Source organism: Homo sapiens, chromosome 14, assembly GCF_000001405.40.
Source record: "Homo sapiens chromosome 14, GRCh38.p14 Primary Assembly".
Lineage (NCBI taxonomy): Eukaryota > Metazoa > Chordata > Mammalia > Primates > Hominidae > Homo > Homo sapiens.
In genome coordinates this window covers 20,914,288-20,938,038 of record NC_000014.9, presented here as the reverse complement: position 1 = coordinate 20,938,038, position 23,751 = coordinate 20,914,288, and the positions used below count along the sequence as shown (strand labels likewise).

The 23,751-nt window shown below is 43.4% G+C and overlaps 1 long non-coding RNA gene and 1 pseudogene across 2 annotated transcripts in view; one reads left to right on the top strand and one right to left on the bottom strand.

Moving 5' to 3' along the window:
- The first annotated feature begins 1,215 nt into the window (after positions 1-1,215).
- The window catches only part of LOC100507513 (uncharacterized), a 66,589-nt gene continuing 44,053 nt past the window's right edge, over positions 1,216-23,751 (top strand). The window contains exon 1 of the long non-coding RNA XR_110261.4: positions 1,216-1,937. This is a non-coding gene — a long non-coding RNA (uncharacterized LOC100507513). The remainder of the gene's footprint in view (positions 1,938-23,751) is intronic.
- RNASE2CP (ribonuclease A family member 2C, pseudogene) lies at positions 17,863-18,698 on the bottom strand (annotated as a pseudogene). The gene is made up of 2 exons (NR_033909.1): positions 18,635-18,698; positions 17,863-18,403 (listed from the first exon to the last, which is right to left on the bottom strand). The product of NR_033909.1 is annotated as a ribonuclease A family member 2C, pseudogene (transcript).

Below are 23,751 nucleotides of genomic sequence, written 5' to 3'. Positions count from 1 at the left end.
CAGATCACGAGGTCAAGAGATCGAGACCCTCCTGGCCAACATAGTGTAACCCTGTCTCTACTAAAAATACAAAAATTAGCCAGGCATGGTGGGGGGTTCCTGTAATCCCAGCTACTTGGGAGGCTGAAGCAGGAGAATTGCTTGAACCCAAGAGGCGGAGGTTGCAGCGAGCCGAGATCACGCCACTGCACTCCAGCCTGGGCAACAGAGGAAGACTCCATCTCAAAAGCAAAAAAAAAAAAAAAAGAATTCATTTCTCTTTTCTTGGCAACTTGGCCAATTATAAAGCAGATAGAAGTCAAGGATGTTAAAATCTAGGTATTAGATCTCAACTCAGCTTCTTGCCATGGATTAGTCAGTTTTGCTTAATTATATAAAAGGCTTTTGAGGCCTTTCTGCTCAGGAGACCTATTAAGACAGAAAAACTATGAAATCTACTGCATCACACCTTGTTGATAGACTGTATACGCAACTCCTCCTATTGCCTTCATTAACAGGTCCCTAAATTTAGCTGATTTTGGAGTTCTGAGAAACGTACGTACTAATTTCTTCCCTTGCCTTACTGAAATACAGACTGGAGTTCCAAGTAGCTTCTCCTTCAATAAAAACATATATAATTTCAGCTGGGCTCAGTGGCTCACGCCTGTAATCCCGGCACTTTGGGAGGCTGAGGCGGACGGATCACCTGAGGTCAGGAGTTCGAGACCAGCCTGAGCAACATGGAGAAACCCTGTCTCTACTAAAAATACAAAATTAGCTGGGCGTGGTGGCACACGCCTGTAATCCCAGCTACTTGGGAGGGTGCGGCAGGAGAATCCCTTGAACCCGGGAGGCGGAGGTGGTGGTGAGCCGAGATAGCATTATTGCACTCCAGCCTGGGCAACAAGAGTGAAAGTCCATCTCAAAATAAATAAATACATAAAAATAAATATAAATAAATGAATATGGCTGGGCACGGTGGCTCATGCTTGTAATCCTAGCACTTTGGGAAGCCGAGGCTGGTGGATCATGAGGTCAGGAGTTCAAGACCAGCCTGGGAAAGATGGTGAAACCCCTACTCTACTAAAAATACAAAAATTAGCTAGGCATGGTGGCCCATGCCTGTAATCCCAGCTACTCGGGAGGCTGAGGCAGAGAACTGCTTGAACCTGGGAGGCGGAGGTTCCAGTGAGTCAAGATTGCGCCACTGGATTTCAGCCTGAGTGACAGAGCCAGACTCAGTCTCAAAAACAAATAAACAAACACCAAAAAACCCGTATAACTTTAATGGTGGAGACAAAAACAGATTATGCTGTAATCTTTACATAATAGTGATTCAATTTTTTTGACCTTGCTAATAACTGCTTTAAGGAAAAACTACACTTAATTAAATTAACAATTCTGAAATGGAAACTCAATTTGCAAACTAAGTATTTCTCCTAACCTGAACATGTATAAACCAATATGCATATATACAAAATCACACATGAACCCAAACACACAGTAATGTATAGAAAAATACAGAATGTCAGAGCTGAAAGAGATCTTTTGTCTATAATCTTCACTTTAGTGATGAGGAGTAGAAGGATAAGGTGATTTGCCAAGCTCCAGTAGCAAGCTTATGATAGACACTAAACCCCAAGTTTCTGCATATTTGCAGTGATGTCATAGGCACTCTGTGTGATGCTGGTGAATATTTCAGGTGTGAAATAGTAAGCATAAAATTAGCATTACCTGGGAATCTGTTTAAAATCATTGACAGGCCTGAGAGTTTTCCATACGGCCTGCACCCTAACCTCTGGGAAGAAAATATCCACAATGAAATTTCTACAAGATTAGAGGAAGGAGAGAGGCAACGGGGATTCCATTTCTACTAGGAGTATCAACCTCTGAGAGAAAAATATCCATCTCTGTGGATGTCATCTGCTCTGCAGAAAACCCTTTCCTGGAACTCCCAGGTATTTAAAAAAAGAGTCAGATATTAGAGCTAGAGACAGAAGGCTCACACACAGTCACCCAGAATCCCTGAGCACCAAGAATTAGAACATTTCTGGAAGATAGGCTCTATACATGGAAGAGTTGGGAATCTTTATTTTGAGGCAGAGAAATATGTGGGGGAAACATAAACTCTACTCCCTTAAAATTGAAATGCTCTCATTTTTAAAAACAGCGTTTAAACAGACATTTGTATTTAAGGAAGTGAAAATATTTTCTAAGATGCAGGTCATATGAATCTGTCAATTCCCTTCTGAGTTAAGTCACTCTAAAAAGGGGTTGGCAATCATGCCTGCCTCATCTCAAGGCTATGGGTGAGTGGCAGTTGAACTGATAGATGCAAACACCTCAGAGATGAAAGTTTTTAGTTTAACTGGTCTGCTTAGGTAAGGAGCAAGAATCACTTTGGGGTTTGGAAATAACCTTGTACATAGGATAATCCCATAAAGGGTTGAGAGGGTGGTAGCCATCTCCGTTATTGACAAGGAGGTGGAAGAAGGATGTGAGAACACTTGTTGCCATGAGTACACGAAGAATAAGTGTAGAAATGGCAGGAGGGGAGAACTGCGAACACTAAGTGTTGGGCCAAGACTTCTTAGGAACAGGACAAGGGACCATGGCTTGCTCTTTTGACTCTGCTCTTCTTTGAAATGCTTTCACAAGAAACATGAATCTGATATGGACCCTCCTCCTCTTCCTCCTTTTGGACCTAACTGTCTTCACTCCAGCCCTGCCCTTCTTAACACGACATATAGACAACCCCAGGTCGTGGGTCCCTAGAGGACACCACCGATACTGTGATGTGATGATGAGGCGCAGTTGGCTGATCTATAGGGGTAAATGCGAGCAGATCCACACATTCATTCATAGAATCTGACCACCATAGCAGATTTCTGCAGAACTCCACCACTGCCCTGTACCAACAGCCCCTCCATGTGCAGCTGCCGCAACAGTACTCATGATGTCAATGTCACTGACTGCTTTGCCAGCGCAGGGACCCGACCTCTTCACTGCCACTACCAAAAATAAGAAGGAGTCCACCAGGCCCATGCGAGTGGGCTGCAAGAAGGGGGCATCTGTTCACCTGGATGGCTAGGTTCCTCCTGACACCGGCACCTGAATGACTTGCACCCTGCGCCTTCAAATCTTTGCAGCACTGTCAAAGTCTTCTTTGTAAATGCTTCTTCCCTTGCACGTGGACCCCTCATTTTTCCCAGACACATATAGGCTCCCGCGTCTTTCTTACAGCCTGTTCCCCACCAACCCCACGTCCCCTATCCCTGCCACAGTGTCAGGGCTTTTGGTGGAGGATAAGGTGGCAGTGGAGGGTTGGGAGGGAGCCTGAATTACGGAAATAATTCTCTGGAAAAGGCTTGCTCCAACCAAGCTGCTAGACAAACCCCTTCTCCTGGGACTGATCTTCCCACCAGCTGCTCTCATAAAACCTCCTGATGGCTGGCGCTACATGTCCTGGATCATAGGGTCCTTCTGCATTCTGCCAGACGTTCTGTTCCTTTCTCCTCAATGGACTCCTTCGGAGGGTATTAGGGACGATACCCTGGTGGGAAACCGCTTCCTTTAGGGAACCAAATCCCTGTGGCTCCCGGGGTGTCACCAGAAGAAGCCGCTGCTAGAGAAGTGGGAGGAGAAGGGGCAACTCCGCCCCGCCCAGAGCCTCAGTGGTCTGCCAGTTCCCGTGGCCGTTGTATTGGCCGGCAGGGGGCGCCGCGCTGCATGCTTCCTGCAGGCCAAGAGTCCAAAACTTCTTGGTTCCCTTTAAGACAGCGTGAGATGGGCTGCGAGTTTCTTGGTTGCTGACAGGGGTAGAGAATAATAGGTGAATAAACAGAAAATCCAGCCAGCATAAATACAGTCTAAATGTTGAAGAACAGATTTCTGAGTCTACCATAACTTTCTTGCAGTCCGTCACTTTAGTGTTGAACCTGCCACCTTCAGATTCACACTGCAGCACCTCAGGTAAGAAGGAAAGGAAGTGAATATGCACTGAGGACCTACTTGTGTTATGAGCTTTACAGTTCAGCTCACTAGAAAAGAGTTATTCCTTTCTTGGAAGTAAGGGCCTCAGGCCCTAAAGCTCTACAAGGTCCTAGAGCAGGTGGCAATACCAGCCAGGCTGTGTCCTTCCCTTCAGGGTCATGAGGTCCTCTAGGCCCAGGCATGTCCAGAGGTTCTGTCTGAGAGCCAGGGACCAAAGTAAAAAACCTGGGAAGTTTACGTGGTGTTCTGTTTTACTGTGGCTGAGCTTGCACTCAAGCCATGAGATGGAGTCCTTCCAGTCTTCCTTCACCTTTCCATGGGCAGAGGAGCCTCTCCCCACTGCTACCTCCAACACAGGCTCAAGAGGAATACTGCCAGGCTACTGCCAATGTTCCCTTAAGGCCCCGGAGCTCTGCAGTCAGCTTGTGGTGAATGCTGCCTGGCCTGGGACTCACCCTTCAGGGAAGTGGATTCCCCTCTGACCCAGGGCAGGTCCAGAAATGCCAGCCAAGAGCCAAGATCTGGAATTGGGGATCCAAGAGCCGGCTTGGTGCTCTACCCCGCTGTAGCTGAGCTGCTATCTAAGCTGCAAGACAGAGTCCCCTTTACTTTTCCCTCTGCTTTTCTCAAGCAGAAGAATTGTCCCTTCATGACTGCCCCAGCTGTAAGTATGGTGGGTCTCACCTGAAGCCAGCATATCTCAGAGTCTCACCTAAGGCCCATGGAGTGTGCTACTGGGTATTGCTGCTGGTTATTTAGGGCCTGAGGGTTCTTCAGTCAGCAGGTGATGAATCCTGGAAGGACTAGGTCCTTTCCTTCTAGGCAGTGGGTTTTCTTCTGGTGCAGGGTGTGTCTAGAAATGTCCTTCAGGAGCGAGTGCCTGAAATGGTGGCTTCATGACTCTGACTGGTGCCCTATCCTATTGTGGCTGAGCTGATCTTTACGATGTAAGACAAAGTCCTAGTTACTCTTTCCTCTCCTTTCCTCAAGCAGAAGGAAGGAGTCACTTTCATTGCTGTGAGCTGTGCTGCCTGGGGTTGGGGGAGCGGTTGTGCAAGCACTCCCTTAGCTGCCCTGACAAGTGTCACACTAGTGGTGTCTAGGTCCACTGGCTCTGAGCTCAGCACAGCACTGGGACTTGCCTTGTAGTTGTAGTTCTTGTGGCCTAGATTGAGTTTCAAATATATTTAGGACCCCAGAGCACTTTAGCCTACTGTGGCAAAGCTTTCCCAAACTCAGTGTCTGACCGCTGGGATAGGCAATTCCCCTTTGGCTAAGGTGGTCTAAATGCTCCTTCTGTGGATGGGCTGTGACAGGGCAGCACTGAGTTCAATGCAGATTTCCACAATTGCTAAACTCTCCCTCCCCCATGCACTCAGATTCTGTCTCAGCTCCATGTGGTGGCTGTTGGGAGATGGGGGAGTGGTGGCCTCAGTGATTCAAAATTGTCTTTCCTAACCTCTTCAGTGCCTCTTTCAGTGATATGAAGTTAAAATAGGTACTATGATTGTTGACTTGATTTTCATTTCCTATGTAGGTGCTTTTTTGTGTGTAGATAGTTGTTGTTAAATGTGGTGTTTCTGCTGGTATGTGTGGGGGTGCAATCAATGGACACTTCTATTGGGCCATCCAGCTCAATCCCTTCTTCTTGATTCTTTGGCTATCTGAGGAGTTAAATATATCCCCATTCATTAACCTAAAACAGTTTCTTAAGCATTTGTTCAGTGTCTTCTGAACCCAAGGGTTATAGCAATAAGACCAAGTCAATTCATACCCCATGATGAGCTTCAGCTAAGCCCTGCACAAATTCTCCCTACATATAAGTGAAGTGTTGCTATAGCCTGACAGGTCAGTTGTGTACACTTGGATATCAATAGGGTCAACTGAATAGAAGCCTCATATCAAGACATAAATGCTGGATAATAGGTGTATGTAGCTAGAATCATCTGGGTAATAATGCAAATGGTATCATCGCTTCCTGTGCTTTGGAATTTCCCCACACTGAGATTACTTCCGATGTACATGAAGGCTTCTGAAGCCAGAGTTTGGTAAAAAATGGATCTCAAAGTTGGGCTGGAGACAGGTTGTTTCAGAACCACTTGAGGAAATGCTTGAAAATGCAGAATCCTGAGCTCCATGTGCAGACGTTCTGTATGAGTATATCCGGAATGGAGCCCACGGATCCATAGTGCAAAACTTCCCCCAGGTGATCCAAATGGAAACTACACTAAAGTTTGAAGTTTTTTCAGGTGTGGCACTTACAGGCTGGCAGAAAACACTATCAATGAATTTGTGTATAATATTTGATTATATAGTTTATTATTATCGAAAATTGGTCATTAGTCATTAGGGATTGATTATGAGTATCCCAGTGATACAAAATTGATGACCTATGTGCTAGTTTCTATATGTCACTGCTTACCCATAGCTTCCTTTTAAGATTTAAAGAATTTTGTCCTCTTGCTTTTCTGTTTGGCTAGAGGCAGTTGGGGGCATGAGGAAAAATCCTTCCTGTTCCAGAAATACTGAGGAGTGAACTGTTACATTCATACTTACTGAGTATCCTGTCCCTTTAGTTTTTTCACAAGTCAGCTAACCCAGACAGTCTGAGGAACACTAATTCATAAGAATACTTAAAATAACCCCTCAGGCTTTTTTTTGCTAGTCTTTTGTCCTACCAAATGCAAAGACAGTTTTGAAGGTCAGGCCAAAATAGCTTCCTCACTAAAAATACAATTAGATATTACTATGGAGTCTTACAGGAATAATGATCAAGCAGATGAAACTATGAAAAGTTTTGTACATGATGTAATTATATTTCGTTTATTCAATTAATCAAGTATTCAGAATATTCCCATATAAGCAATCAAGTAACTCACATACATAAACCAAGTGAACCACATATATGCCTCTTTAAAACACACACACACACACACACACACACACACACACACACACAGACACATTCATTCTTTATTGCAGACTCATAGATTGCAAAGTGTCTGAGATAGATGGCCGTTTGATGCAAGCCTGTTATTTGGAGATGAGTAGCAGAATATAAGGATAATTTGCTCAGATTCCACATCCAACTGGCAGGCCATCTGCACTGAATCCCCCAGAGATTTGCCCTGAGACTTTTATTGATACAGTCAAGATCATGTAATGGCCCTCTACCACAATCCTAAATATGGGTATGCACTATATTTTGAGAAGTGTGTGTGGTAGAAAAATTGTTCAAGGAAATTGCTGGATCTCAAGAGCTTTGATTGTGGTTGAACATCCAGATCTTTTGTCCTGTAGTGACACGTCCTGGGTCTTTCACACACCTTTCCTGTAATAAAGAGGTAATGGACTCAGAGGATTTCAATACCACAAAGCAGATCGGCTTTCAAAGCACAAGGTTCTTAGAGCTCCTCAGCTAGCAGGTCTCACGCTCTGTCTTACTCTACCTGCTGACTTGGGATAGTCACACTCTTCCTCCGAGGTGAGAAGGGGAGGGACAGACACATGTAATACGGGCCAGTTTAGAGCCTCACTCTGTGACCAGGTGGCTGGACTGGAGAAGGAAGAGAGCAGGAGATGGAGTGAGGGATAGCTCCATCACTGTCTGATTCCCAGCTGTAGGGTGATGGGTGTTGGGCTCAGGGACCCTCAGCCTTCCAGGTCATCCAGTGCTGCCTTATTATGGTTCTTTTAGTTTTACTTGATTGCTTCTCCTTTGTTTGAATGTTGTAATAGTAGGGAGTCTGTGGTTAACAAATATATGCATCTTTACGAATATAGATATATGCACATAAGTGCATATGCATATGTAGAATGCATATACATTCATATGGTGAAAATGTAAACTCAATTATTAAAAAAGGGTATCTAGTGAAAAAGATGTCTTCATTTACCTTTGTTTATCGAGGCTAGGTTTGTATTCCAGGAAGAATAATTATTCAGTTTTTTAGTACTCTTTCTATAATATATATACTGAATCTAAGCATATATGTGGTAGTACATATAAGCATACTCACTTTTCCTCATTTATACAGATTTCTTCGTATAATTCCTCTATGTCCCCCCTCAGTAACATGCTCTATTTAAAAACTAAAATAATAGTGTTTGCTGTGGACTGAATTATGTCCCTTAAAAATTCATATATTGTAGTCCTAACCCCCAGTCTCACTGTATTTGGAGGGAGAGCCTATAAGGATAAACTTAATGTTAAATGACATCATAAAGGTGGAGCCTTGATTCAAGAGGATTAGTATCCTTATAAAAAGAGACACCACCAGCTGGGTTGGTGACTCTCACTTGTTATCCCAGCACTTTGGGCACCTGAGGCAGGAAGATCGCTTGAGGCCAAGAGCTCAAGATCATTGTGGGCAACTGGGACAGTTTGGATATTTGCCCCATCCATATGTGATATTGGAATATAATCCCCAGTGTTGGAGGCAGGCTTGGTGGGAAGTGATTGGATCTTGGGGCTGGATTTCTCGTGAATCAGCGCCATTCCCTTGGTGCTGTTCTCCTGATAGTGAGTGAGTTCTCGTGAGATCTGGTTGTTCAAATTGTGGTACATTCCCCCTTGCCCTCTTGCCCCAGCACCTGCCATGTCAGACCCCTGTTCCCCCTGTGCCTTCCACCATGATTGGAAGCTTCCTGAGGCCTCCCCAGAAGCAGGAACTGCTATGCTTTCTGTAAAGCCTGCAGAACTGAGAGCTAGATTAACCTCCTTTCTTTATAAATTACCCGGTTTCAGGTGTTTCTTTGTAACAATGTGAGAAAGAACTAATACAGGGGCAAACTTCTCATGAATGGTTTAGCACCAAATCCTTGGTGCTGTCCTGGAGAAAATGAGTGAGTTCTTCTGAGACTGGTCATTTAAAAGTTGTGATACCTCCCCCTACGACTTCCAACTCTCTCTTGCTCTTGCTTTCCCCATGTGAAGTGCCTGTTCCCGCTTCATCTTCTGCCACGATTATAAGCTTCCTGAGGCCTTCCTAGAAGCTGATACCAGGGCTATACTTCCTGAGCATCGTACAGAACCATGAGCCAATTAAACTTCTTTTCTTTATAAGTTACCCAATCTCAGGAATTATTTCATAGCAATGAAAGAACAGCCTAATACAGCAATATAGCAAGATGCCATCTCTACAAAACAAAACAAAAAACAAAAAACAAACAAACAAAAAAACAAGAGACACACCAGAGAGCTTACTTCTTCCTCCACTATCTGAGGACACAGTGGTGGGGGAACAACTGTCAGCAAGCCAGGAAGGGAGACCTCACTGCAAACTGAACCTGCCAGATCCTTCATCTTGAACTTCCCAGTGTCCAGAGCTGTGATTGTGATATTGTGATTTATAATGAGAAATGCAACTTCTGGGCATGGTGGCTACAGCCTATATTCCCAGCTACTTGGAAGACTGAGGCAGAAGGATGCCTTGAACCCCGGAGGTGGGGGTACAGTGAGCTATGATGGCACCACTGCACTCCGGCCTGGGTGACCGAGTGAAATCCCATCTCTAAAAAAATATATAGCATATATTTAATGTTCCTGCCTGTTTCCTGACTCAGAGCCCCTAAAACTCTTAAAATTTCTGAATAAGTGTCTAATGAAGTACATTAATGAGACGAGTGGCACCTGTGTAGTCTCAGGAGGGGTCTGGTTGCTAGCAGAGCTGAGCAAGTGATTAGAGGGTTAAAACATCCATTGCTACCCCAGCTAACCCCCTGGAAGGGGGATTGAAGGTTGAGTTGATCAGCAGTGGCGAATAATTTCATCAGTCATGCCAACGTAGTGACACCTCCATAAACCCCAAGAGGAGAGAGAGAGACTTTGGTAAGTTTCTGGATTTGGTGAATGATATGGTTTGGCTCTGTGTCCCCACCCAAATCTCATGTCAAATTGTAATTACTAATGTTGGGGGAGGTACCTGGTGGGAGGTAATTGGATCATGGGGGCGGATTTCCCCCTTGCTGTTCTCGTGATAGTGAGTAAGTTCTTACGAGATCCGGTTATTTAAAAGTGTATAGCACTTCCCCCTTCACTCTTTCCTGCTGCTATGTGAAGATGTGCTTGCTTTCCCTTCACCCTCTGCGATGATTGTAAGTTTCCTGAGCTCCCCTCAGCCATGCTTCCTGTGCAGACTGCAGAACTGCGAGTCAATTAAACTTCTTTCTTCATCAATTATCCAGTCTCAGGTAGTTTTTTTTGTTTTGTTTTGTTTTGTTTTATTTTGAGATGGAGTTTCACTCTTTTTGCCCAGGCTGGAGAGAAATGGCATGTTATAGGCTCACTGCAAACTCCGCCTCCCGGCTTCAAGTGATTCTCCTCCCTCAGCCTCCTAAGTAACTGGGATTACAGGCCTGTGCCACCACACCCAGCTAATTTTGTATTTTTAGTAGAGTCAGGGTTTCACCATGTTGGCAAGGCTGGGCTCAAACTCCTGACCTTAGGATCTGCCCACGTTGGTCTCCCGAAGTGCTGGGATTACAGGCATGAGCCACCGTACCCAGCGTCAGGTAGTTCTTTATAGCAGTGTGAGAACAAATGAATACAGTACACAAGAACATATCCCTGTGCTGGGAGGGTGGCACACCCCAATTCCACAGGGATAGAAGATCCTGCACTTAGGACCCTTCCAAGCCTTGCCCCATTATCTCCCTGTCTGTACCTTTAGTATATCCTTAATGATAGATGTATAAACCTAAGTAAAGTGTTTCCCTGGGCTCTGTGAGCCATTCTAGCAAATGATCAAACTGAGGAGGAAGTCACGGGATCCTCCAAACTATAGTTCATTGGTCAAAAGCACAGATAATGATCTGCTACTTGAGACTGACAGTCTTGTGGGACCAAGCCCTTAACCTGTGGGGTCTGCATTCACTCCAGTTAGTGTCACAATCCAATTGAATTTTAGGATACCCAGCTGGAATCGGTTGCTGCAAGAAAGCACCCTCCCACATTTGGTGGCCAGAAGTGTGAGTGTGAGTATGGAGGAGAAGAGCTGATGTTTCCTCAACTGGGAGAAAGAAATTTCTGTTGTTTTGGAATACTCATTTGTGGTATTTTGTTATAGCAGCCTGGGTAGATTCTTACAGTGGCCTACACCATTCTTCTTTCTCATTAACAATATATTTCGGTAATATTCCATGCCAGTAGGAAGAGATTAACCGTACTTTTTTTGCATTAAAAAATACTGCATAAAATTCCCTTGTAAAGATATACAATCCTATTTTAACCAGTTCTGCAGGATATATTATTTGTTTCTAAATTTACTATTTTAAACAATTCTGAACAGTATATTCTGAATGAAAGACCGACACTGAACCCCATATATTTGCTATTGCATTGTGGTTAAGAAGTCACGCTTGTACTATCCAGGGTGCTAGGATCTGCTGTACTGAAGCTCCTGCATAGCTGTGAAGTGTGGGAGCTGTGGGTGAAAACAGTAAATCCTTCCAGTTGCACGTGTGTGTCACTTAACGAAAGAATCGTGGGAAAGTAAAAGTTGTCACCACAAAATAGCAACTGTAGTGGGAGAATGTCTCTGTCATTTTCTGTGTAATGAAAAATCTGGTAATATCTGTGCACTGAGATTCACAGGTATTGGGTTAGACTAAAATCTTTAACACCAGAAAGGGTGAACTTAATACCTATTTTTATATGTGGAGGAAGAACATGGGCAGTGGGAAGGGTAACTGACTTTTTTTCATTTTCATTTTGAGTCTCTTTGTCTTTGAGATAACTACTTATTACCAAAGGATTTTGGCAAATTTTTCTGTCATTTGTAAAAAGGCAAATGAAGAATCCTTCCTTTCTCATTATTAGCTGTGGCCTGATTCTTGGCTGCACTCCAGGTGAACGTGATGTCACAAAGAAAATGAATCTCTGGTGAACTGAGAGATGCACTGACCTGGTGAATGTATGTGGGTTCTGGCTGATGGTGCCATTTTGGTAACATCTTCTGGTGCACCTGGGAAACCATAGGTCATCATGATGTTGAGTTTTATATTTCAAGTTGCCTGGGCCTGTGGGTGCCCAGATTAACATTATTTCTGGCTGTGTCTCTGAGGGTATTTCTGTAAGACTAGCAGTTGAATTGGTTGATTAAGTAAAGTAGGTTGCATTTCCAGTGTGGATGGGGCTCATCCAATCTGTTGACGGCCAGAATAGATTGAAAAGTAGAGAAAGGCGGAATTCATCACTTTTTCTTGCCTCACTTCTTAAGCTAGGACATCTTATGTCATCTTCCTGTAGTTGGGTTGACATTTACATCATCAGCTTCCATGGTTTTTGGGCATCGGGACTCGAACCAAATTATCCCACCAGCTTTCCTGGGTCTGCCAGCTTGCAGAGGGCAGATTATGGAACTTCACAGACTCCATAATTGCGTGAGCGAGTTTCTCATGATAAATCCTTCTGTATCTATATTTCTATCTATCTGTGTCTACCTAAATCTTTTATGTTTCTCTTGATGATCCTGACTAATACAGTCATATTTTCTAACTCAGTGGGGATGTGTGATAAGCATGTAATGTGCTCAGTTTCCCAGATATTCATTTGGGTAACCTGGCTGGCCCTATATTCTAAATTATCTCACATCAGCCAATTTTACATCCAAAATAACTTTGAATAATGAGAATTTTGAAGTAGTCTACTGATCTTCTTTTGAAATCACTATAGGTCAGAACTGAGACAAAAGTGACAACTCTGTCATAATTCTAAGTGCATTTTAAGACAAACATTTATTAACCAAAATCAAGTTTTAGTTTAAAAACAAGGCTGTTTTTCAGAGGTAATTTGAAATAGAGATGTAGACAGAGTTTCTATGCTCCTATCCTTACTAATTGCCTCACTCCCTTATGTAATTGGAGTGGAAACAGCTCATAAAATGTGAGTATCAGCTGTGCTCAGTGGTGTGTATTTATAGTCTCAACAACTGGCAAGACTAAGGCGAGAGCATTGCTTTAGTCTAGAACTTCAAGTCCAGCCTGAGCAACATAGGGAGACTTCATCTCTAAAAATGAACTAAGAGGCTGGGCGCGATGGCTCATGTCTATAATACTAGCCCTTTGGGAGGCTGAGGTGGGCGGATCACCTGAGGTCAGGAGTTTGTAGACCAACCTGGCCAACATGGCGAAACCCTGTCTCTACTAGTAATACAAAAATTGCTCTGGAGGTTGAGGCAGGAGAATCGCTTGAACCTGGGAGGCAGAGGCTGCAGTGAGCCAAAACTGCACCACTGCACTCCAGTCTTGGCAAAAAAATAAAATAAAATAAAATAAAATGAACTAAGAAACAAACAAAAAGTCAATATCAGGCAAAATCGATTACAATATTTAGCCTAGATCCCTCTCCTCTTCTCTCTTCTGCCCTGACAATGAGGTCTTCTTCCTTCTCTTCTGGAAAGTCAATTCATGGACATCTTGAAAGACAAAGCCTGTTGTTTTTTCATTAAAATACTTGATCTACTTGGATATCCTTGAACATTGCAGGCTACTCTGCTGGTGGGGTCTCATATTCTTGAATCCCAAGTGTAGTCATAATCTCTGCAAGTGTGTCTCCCCAAGGTTGATGATTTGCCTCCTTGACCTTCCATTTAACCCTACATAAAGACATCTGCCCTGATATGTTCCCAATTATTAAAAAGTGAAAGCAATAGCATTGTGAATTAACCTTCCTTCTGTGCTGGACTTTACAGAATGTGTTAGAGCTGGTAGCTGAAAAAACTAGGGCTTGTTTCCCTGGTGAGTAACAAAGACTCTCTATGAGAACGTACATTTTGATAAATAAAAGTTTTGTTACTTGGTTCAAGTAAGAAGGCCACTGGGAGTATTCTCCAAAGCAGTGTCTTCCTGATGGAAAGTGAGAAGAACATTCTATGTGGTGATGGAGAGGGCAGAGGGTGTATCATCACTTGTAGAGGAGGAGTCCCAGTTGCCCATACACAGTGAGTGATTCTGCCAGCACATAGTTCACATGTCATGGTAATGAGGCTATAGCTCCTCCTTGGGTGGAGACTTTAGCATGGTAATGAGGAATGTTCATCCTAATTTGTCTGTAAGTTGCTGGGTTATGCCAGGAGCTGGTTCCCACCAGCAAGCTTGTAAAACAGGCTGATTGCTCAAGTTGGTTAAATTCTTATAATCCCTGGAGACCCTCCCTGCCTGCTTATAGAACAATTAACTGCATTTACTCCTGCAAGACTTCCTGAAGATTTGATATGAAGAGAATTTTATAAAATCAGACATGGGAGGTTCAAGGAAAAGAAGTGGAATCCAAGGATCACGTCTTTGGAACATGCTGACGTGACTACTTAACTTCTCTAATGGTAGTCTCTGTGGTGCTGGCCTTGGGTCCAGGGCAATCAGAAAATCTTGGATGTCTACTGCAGAAGGGGCAGTGAGTCCAGCCAGGGTTTCCTGATGGTCAAGCACAGAATCCTCCTTGGTCTTGTTTGAATCGTCTCACGTCCTGGGAGAGGGGAGCTGCCTCTGACCTCAGCCCAGTCATCAGCATGGGGATGGCAGGAAGATGATGTGGAAGGCATGGAGGGGCTGGAGAGAGGCCATGGCAACAGGGAGGGGAATAGCATGGGGCTGCAGCATGAGAGGATGATGGTGAGATTCACTGAGATTGGAAGACTCTTGTTTCCCTCTGCCTCAACCTGTGGTCCTTCACTGGGACCTTGCTTCCACTCTTGTCTCCTAAATAGTTGTGTTCTGCACAGAGGCTGGACAGATCTTTAGGCAACGTTATTCTTGCATGTAACATGCTCAATTTGTGCCCCATGAGGAACTTACTTTATTCTTCTATCTTCACAAGCATGAAGGGTCTGAACCTCATTAACTCCTATCATTAATACTCATGGCTATGATGATCTTGTCCTGACCAAACAACTTTTGTGCTTCTAACATGCCAAACCTCTATTCATTCAGGACCATTTTTTAAAAATGAAAATGTTTTATTACATTAAGGAATAAATACATACAAAGATGCAAATAGTTGTAGTCATTTTCTTGCAGATGTTTTAATTAACTTATTGTAAGCACTGAACTGAAGTCTACTTATAGCCTTGATATTTGTGAGGAATTTTGAAGTCTCCTTCTCTTTGCTGGGATGATTTTCCATCTGGTGTCTGTATGACTGGCTGCTTTTCCTCCTGTTTAGATTTCATTCTCTGAAATGGGTCTTTCCTGGTCACACTTTGCTCTGTCACTTCTGAGGCACATACAGAACCTCTATATTGTGTCGCTCTGTGTAGTTTTCTGCTTACTAGGCTGTGTATTTTTCCTCCTGACACTTAGCAAAATTTTGTATGCTTAGAACAATTTTGTATGTTTATTTTTATCCTTGTATAATGTGGCCCCAAAAGAGCAGTGACCTGTCTTGGTTTGCGTTGCGTCATCACTCCCTCAAACTGTGCCTGGAGCAAGGTATCTACTCAGTAGATGTCTGCTGGATGAATGAATGAGTGAAGGATGAATGACAGGAGAGGAGATGAAGTCACAAGGTGGAGAGGGCATGGGGGCAGGTGGGGACTGATCCCTCTATCCTATGGTTTTAGAGACGGGGCATCCCTGACTGAGAAGACACCTGTGATCTGGTACCTGAAGTGAGGAAGGTCCATTCCATCTCTCTTCACAGGAAACGTGGCTCCAGCTTTCAGAGTCCCACCTTCTCCTTCTGCTACTTGGAGGTTGTGGGAAGACTGCACTCACTTCCTAATATGCCCTATTTTACCTAGAGTCAGTGGATTCTATTGAGCACCAGGATTTCGTGAAATCTGTGTCCCTGTGCAAACTTTAAAGTTCACAGCCCTGCCACACCCTTGGAGAAGCAAGATCTCAATAGCTTCTCCAGAGGAGAGACTTCAATACTGCTGCTGTCTGATGCCAATGAGAGCTACTATTACTGACATGGAGTCATCTGAGGAATGGAAATTGCTATTTCTGAGGGTCTGGAAGAGGAGCAGAAATATAGAAGTCAGAACTCTCAGACTGAAGGACCAAGGTGCAGATCTGATGGCATTGTATCTCTGTTGTATGGCCAAGAGTCAGGCCATTCAAAAAGACCCACTCTGTCCCCGGCACAATCACTTGAATGCTGCACCTGTCCACAGCTTGCAAGAAAGGGCTTCCCCTTCCTGTTTCTCATGGATTCCTGAGTGAAGCCCTGTAATGGAGTCCAGGGCAAGGGCTCTCATTATCCATTTCTTCTCTCTCTGGGTCTACAAATCCCTAATTCTTGAGGCTGTGCCCTACCTGACAGGTGTTGAATGAACCCTTTGACTCACCTTTGGGGACAACTGTGGAGGGCAGAACGGGCAGGAGCCAATTCACCTTCATGAGTGATCCCACTCCCCAGTCTCCCTCGTTCCCCTTCCCCTTCCCAGGTGACCAGCTACTCCCTATCTCCAGGACATGGAAGTTTTGGGAATGATGCGCACCTCTCCTTCAGGCAATATTTATTACAATCTGTCCATATTGCTGTCTGAACAATTTATCTCATTCCATATTTGACTCAAACCGTGGATCCACCTCTAGTACGATTGCTAATAGCTGGAGATTTGATGTGCCCATTTAAAGGAAATAGGTCTGAGGCTAAACTTTTTATCTTGGTTTCACCATATTTATAGCATTCTTGGCTTTTTCTACTTTCTTTTTTTGTGTGTTTTCTATCTCAATGTTCAATTCTATCAAAATTTATCATTCATAAATCATAATCAAACATGTACATTTTCACCTTATTCCCTGCAGCCTCTATATCTCTTAGGATAGAAATCATGTCAATAAAAACCAGACTTAGACCATAAAGTGTCAAATGGGACCTCAGCACCAAATTGAGCAAAATTCTGGAATACAGCTAAAACAAGTGGAGAGGTATACTGAAGTTATAAGTTGGTGTGGGGGGAGGGGTCACTGGATGCAAAATTACCTAGAAGAACCATCGAGGCTAGGGAGACCAATGCTAAGTCGACTCAACTGGATTTTCTTTTTTTTTGAAGGCAGGCCAGGAATCAGGTATCACAAGGAGGATGATGGGGGAATTAAGGAATTTGGTCAGATATTGAGGGTGAATATTAATGATAAACCAGGTTAGGAAGACTTCTGTTAAACCTGACCCTAGGTTGGGCACTGGTGGCTCACGCCTATAATCCTAGCACTTTGGGAGGCTGAGGCAGGCGGATTGCCTGAGGTCAGGAGTTCAAGACTAGCCTGGCCAACATGGTGAAACCCCATCTCTACTAACATTGCAAAAATTGGCCAGGCATGGTGGTGCATGACTGTAACCCCAGCTACTGAGGAAGCTGAGGCAGGAGAATCGCTTGAACCTGGGAGGCACAGTTTGCAATGAGCCGAGATTGTGCCACTGCACTCCAGCCTGGGTGATAGAGCGAGACTCTCTCTCAAAAAATGAATAAATATAAATATAAATATAAATATAAATGTAAATATAAATACAAACCTGACTCTACAAGGAAGGACTAGGAAACCCAACAGAATGACCTACTTGTGAAGAGGCCAGGGGAGATGACTAAATTTGGTCAAGGGAAGAGTCTTCAACAGTTGGTAGGTATCAGTTGAGACCTCGGCTTCTCAGCCTAAAGCAGGGAGAGGGATAAGTCTGTGCTGCTTCATGACAGAAAGAGTCTCTTATCCTCAAATCTCTCCATTTCCCACAAGTCTCGGGTTGGAGGAAGGAAAAATATCTAGAGTAGATTGTCACTCAATGACAGCAGAGTGGCCGACGAAGACACACAGACACTTCCAGATGAATTTGCAAAGCAGTTTATTGCAGGCTTCACAAGGCACTTCAGCTCAGGCAAGTGGAAGGGGTATAGAGACTGAAGAGGACAGATGCTGACACCCAGAGTACATGGAGGGATGGGATCTTGGCTATGATTGAGGAGCTTGGCAGATGAGTGATGACGAGGAGTGCTGATACAGGAGCTTAGATGATGGTATCCAGGTGAACTGGAACCACTGGATACTGTGGAGGGTCCCGTCGTTGATCCCTGTTGTCACATGCAACTATATAGAACATGTTTGCTGGTGTCTGCGCATACCTGCAGTTTGAAATATTCTGTGGACTTGGAGTTGTGAGGTTACAGTACATTAAAGGCACCTGGACTCCACTATGATGACAATTGTTGAGAGTTCTGTTATGAGGGCAGGTTATAGTTGGGTTACCACAAACATTAACTACATTAGCAAAAGTTGCAAGAAGAAAAGTATTTTGGTTTTTCCATCGCCGTTGATAATTGTTAATTACCCGCATTGCATTGGTGCATTGGAGCTGGTTCCTACTGATGGACGTCAAACCCCTGAGCCCAGGTAAACTGTGGAGGTTTGACATGGAGTGAGCCCTCCACAGCCAGAAGCCCCAACAGAAGAAGCAGACAAATTTGGGAAGTGAACAGTTTTGGAACCATGTTTCCTGTGAGAAAAGAAGAGAAGTAACTACTCCCCGATTCTGTCTCGGTTGTGACACACACCATAGTGTCTCACCCCACAGGCCAATCTGCTGCCACTCTTGGGTCCCATTTCCTGTTCCTTCCTGTCCCCAAAGTGTGCCACATCTCCTAAGCACTAACGTCAGCTCCCTTCTCCCTCAGTTGCTGCCCTGTCGCTGCCCCTCCTGTCCCAACTCTGGGGATTGTTGACTTACACAGTCTCCGCGCTGTGGCTCCTATGAGAATTGATCCAGCTGGTTGTTCTGGGGTTCAGGGGCAGCTGGTCTCCCCTACTTGGAACTATTTAAATAAAGCATCCCTTGGTGGGTTGGGCCAGCAGAGCCAGGAGGGAGGGTCTGGCTCTTGGCCATGCAGAAACCCACAGATTGACACATGGTCCACTTGCGCAATCATCCTTTTTATTTGATGACTTGGCTGAGCAACGGATACCCAAGGACAGCCCTGCTGCTCTTTCTGCTATACGGACTCTAATTCCAAGTCATCCTGTGTTAGACAGAGTTTTGCCGGTGGGATCTGGACTCTGGATGAAAACTATATGCTGCCGGCAGAATGACCACAGATTTTATAACTGTCCTCTGGCAGGCCCCTAAATGACCAAAGTACATGAAGGCAGGCATAGTAGTTAGAACAAATAGAGCCACAGAGATCTGTTTTCCCAGGAGGAACCCAGCTTCCCTTCCATTTTTAGTAATATCCTTGGTTCTCTCTCACATAAATGCTCTCCATCTCATCCACCACTCTTGCTGGAAACTTGAGCTATTAATTTCTTGGGGCACAAGATTCTGTAGATAATTAAAACAATCTGCTCCATACATTTGAGGGATTTTTTTCTTTACTCCTCTTGCATTGGATCCACTTTCTCTTAAGTCTTGCCCTGATTATTGCTTCCACTTTGTGTAAAGTTACACAACCTAAAAACACACCGAGGACAGTTGTAAAATCTGGCAGAGAATGAATGAACATTTGGTGTCATGAAAGATTCCAACCTAGCACTCGGTATTCCTGTGATCTTTTCAGCCTATGGTATTTTCTACAAAACAGTGTGTTCTGGGGTTGTCATTCATCTTCCTGGTAGGTTTCATCTTGTGATATCAACAAGAAAATGGTTCTGTATTTACAAATGAACATTTAAGGACAGAGCACTGTATTCCTGAAAGTATAGAAGTCAACTGTACAATTTCATACACCAAGCATAGACTTATTCTTGGACCTCAGAGATATACAGGAAAGTAATTGTAGTCACATAATTGTATTACAGTATGATAGAGATAATAGCATTTGTGTGAACATGGTTTCATGGGGACGCCGAGGGTGAAGGAAATCACTTCGCTTGAGGGACAAGGAAGACTTCAAAAAAAAAAAGTTTCATTTCAGCAGGGTCCTAAAGGCAAAGCAGGTGGTTTTCAGGGACTTTAGGGAAGAGATGAGCATTCTGGGCACAGGGGATGATGTGGGAAAATTGTACAGAGGTGGAAAGTGAATTGCAGGGGTAAGACCTAGGTACAAAAAGATGTTAAATCTCTGGTCTAGCTTCTAGATTAGTAAATGGAAATCAGACCTTTAAATGATATCATATACCATCCAATTTTCCTGTCATTTACAAATGCAATAATTTTATCACTGGAGTCCTTAGGTAAATGTGGACACAATGGTCATCAGGTGAGGATTCAATGCACAGCTAACAGTACTCTGCCTTGAAGTCCTCTTCTGGCCGACATTCATTAGCAGCTTTATCATGAAGCAAATTCTTTTTTCATGTATATTGTGTGGAGATCATTTTTGCAGGTGATGAGAATGTAAAGGTGAATGATACGTAGAGTATCCCCTCTGTGATGCTGACAGGCACACTGGGTAGAAAGACTTGCACTCAAGTGTCTATAGTGTGAGGCAAAAGACATAGACTGCAGCCCCAGGGCAGGTACTCGGCTAAACAGTGCTTCTTTTCAGCATATACAGTGTTATTTATAATGTTTGGTTTGGAAGATAAAGTTTGACATTGGAATAGTTCACTAAAAGTTTTCATTACTGTCTTATCTTTAAAAATCACATGATGTTGGTTGGTGCACTGTGTCTCCGTTGCTGTGTGGTATCAATTAGAGCTGGGTAAAGCTGCCTCTGTGGAAGGGGCTCTAGCTCAGGGCTGTTCTCTGACTCCATCTCTGCCTCCTGACTTACATCCTGTCTGTTCAGTAATGACACCTTCCTGGCTTCTGGAGAAATCTGTGATTATGACGCGTCAGACTTGTTGCAGTGTCTTAAGAAATAACTCAGACCATAACCTGCCCAATTTGCAACCATATTCATCCTTTAAAATTGTGCGAGTTTTTTTTATTTGTTTGTTTGTCTTTGATATGGAGTCTTGCTCTTGTGGCCCAGGCTGGAGTACAGTGGCACGATCTCGGCTCACTGCCACCTCTGCCTCCCGAGTTCAAGTGATTCTCCTGCCTCAGCATCCTGAGTAGCTGGGATTACAGGCATCTGCCACAACATCCGGCTAATTTTCAGATTGTTAGTAGAGATGTGGTTTCACTATGTTGGCGAGGCTGGTCTCAAACTCCTGACCTCAGGTGATCTGCCCCACTTGGCCTCCCAAAGTGATGGGATTACAGGTGTGAGACACTGCTCCTGATCACTAAAATTGTATTCAGAACATGCTCATAAGATTTTTCTGATTCTCCCTTGTATAGATTTCCTGTGTACATTTCTAACTACCTTCATTTATCTGCAGAACTAGTACACATGATCTACTTTGATATTTATGACCTTTGGGAGAAGATGTTTTATATGAAGCAGAAATAAAGTGTAAGCCAACATTAAACAAAATTCTCTGTAACTTCAGCATGATCGTTTGTCTTTTTTTAAAAAATTATTATTATACTTTAAGTTTTAGGGTACATGTGCACAATGTGCAGGTTAGTTACTTATGTATACATGTGCCATGCTGGTGTGCTGCACCCATTAACTCGTCATTTAGCATTAGGTATATCTCCTAATGCTATCCCTCCCCCATCCCCCCACCCCACAACAGTCCCCAGAGTGTGATGTTCCCCTTCCTGTGTCCATGTGTTCTCATTGTTCAGTTCCATCTATGAGTGAGAACATGCGGTGTTTGGTTTTTTGTCCTTGCGATAGTTTACTGAGAATGATGATTTCCAATTTCATCCATGTTCCTACAAAGGACATGAACTCATCATTTTTTATGGCTGCATAGTATTCCATGGTGTATATGTGCCACGTTTTCTTAATCCAGTCTATCATTGTTGGATATTTGGGTTGGTTCCAAGTCTTTGTTATTGTGAATAGTGCCACAATAAACATACATGTGCATGTGTCTTTATAGCAGCATGATTTATAGTCCTTTGGGTATATACCCAGTAATGGGATGGCTGGGTCAAATGGTATTTCTAGTTCTAGATCCCTGAGGAATCGCCACCCTGACTTCCACAAGGGTTGAACTAGTTAACAGTCCCACCAACAGTGTAAAAGTGTTCCTATTTCTCCACATCCTCTCCAGCACCTGTTGTTTCCTGACTTTTTAATGATTGCCATTCTAAGTGGTGTGAGATGGTATCTCATTGTGGTTTTGATTTGCATTTCTCTGATGGCCAGTGATGATGAGCATTTTTTCATGTGTCTTTTGGCTGCATAAATGTCTTCTTTTGAGAAGTGTCTGTTCATATCCTTTGCCCACTTTTTGATGGGGTTGTTTGTTTCTCTCTTGCAAATTTGTCTGAGTTCATTGTAGATTCTGGATATTAGCCCTTTGTCAGATGAGTAGGTTGCGAAAATTTTCTCCCATTTTGTAGGTTGCCTGTTGACTCTGATGGTAGTTTCTTTTGCTGTGCAGAAGCTCTTGAGTTTAATTAGATCCCATTTGTCAATTTTGGCTTTTGTTGCCATTGCTTTTGGTGTTTTAGACATGAAGACCTTGCCCATGCCTATGTCCTGAATGGTAATGCCTAGGTTTTCTTCTAGGGTTTTTATGGTTTTAGGTCTAACGTTTAAGTCTTTAATCCATCTTGAATTAATTTTTGTATAAGGTGTAAGGAAGGGATCCAGTTTCAGCTTTCTACATATGGCTAGCCAGTTTTCCCAACACCATTTATTAAATAGGGAATCCTTTCCCCGTTGCTTGTTTTTCTCAGGTTTGTCAAAGATCAGATAGTTGTAGATATGCGGTGTTATTTCTGAGGGCTCTGTTCTGTTCCATTGATCTATATCTCTCTTTTGGTACCAGTACCATGCTGTTTTTGTTACTGTAGCCTTGTAGTATAGTTTGAAGTCAAGTAGCATGATGCCTCCAGCTTTGTTCCTTTGGCTTAGGATTGACTTGGCGATGCGGGCTCTTTTTTGGTTCCATATGAACTTTAAAGTATTTTTTTCCAATTCTGTGAAGAAAGTCATTGGCAGCTTGATGAGGATGGCATTGAATGTATAAATTACCTTGGGCAGTATGGCCATTTTCACGATATTGATTCTTCCTACCCATGAGCATGGAATGTTCTTCCATTTCTTTGTATCCTCTTTTGTTTCATTGAGCAGCAGTTTGTAGTTCTCCTTGAAGAGGTCCTTCACGTCCCTTGTAAGTTGGATTCCTAAGTATTTTATTCTCTTTGAAGCAATTGTGAATGGGAGTTCACTCATGATTTGGCTCTCTGTTTGTCTGTTATTGGTGTATAAGAATGCTTGTGATTTTTGTACATTGATTTTGTATCCTGAGACTTTGCTGAAGTTGCTTATCAGCTTAAGGAGATTTTGGGCTGAGACAATGGGGTTTTCTAGATATACAATCATGTCGTCTGCAAACAGGGACAATTTGACTTCCTCTTTTCCTAATTGAATACCCTTTATTTCCTTCTCCTGCCTAATTGCCCTGGCCAGAACTTCCAACAATATGTTGAATAGGAGTGGTGAGAGAGGGCATCCCTGTCTTGTGCCAGTGTTCAAAGGGAATGCTTCCAGTCTTTGCCCATTCAGTATGATATTGGCTGTGGGTTTGTCATAGATAGCTCTTATTATTTTGAGATACGTCCCATCAATACCTAATTTATTGAGAATTTTTAGCATGAAGTGTTGTTGAATTTTGTCAAAGGCCTTTTCTGCATCTATTGAGATAATCATGTGGTTTTTGTCTTTGGTTCTGTTTATATGCTGGATTACATTTATTGATTTGTGTATATTGAACCAGCCTTGCATCCCAGGGATGAAGCCCACTTGATCATGGTGGATAAGCTTTTTGATGTGCTGCTGGATTCAGTTTGCCAGTATTTTATTGAGGATTTTTGCATCAATGTTCATCAAGGATATTGGT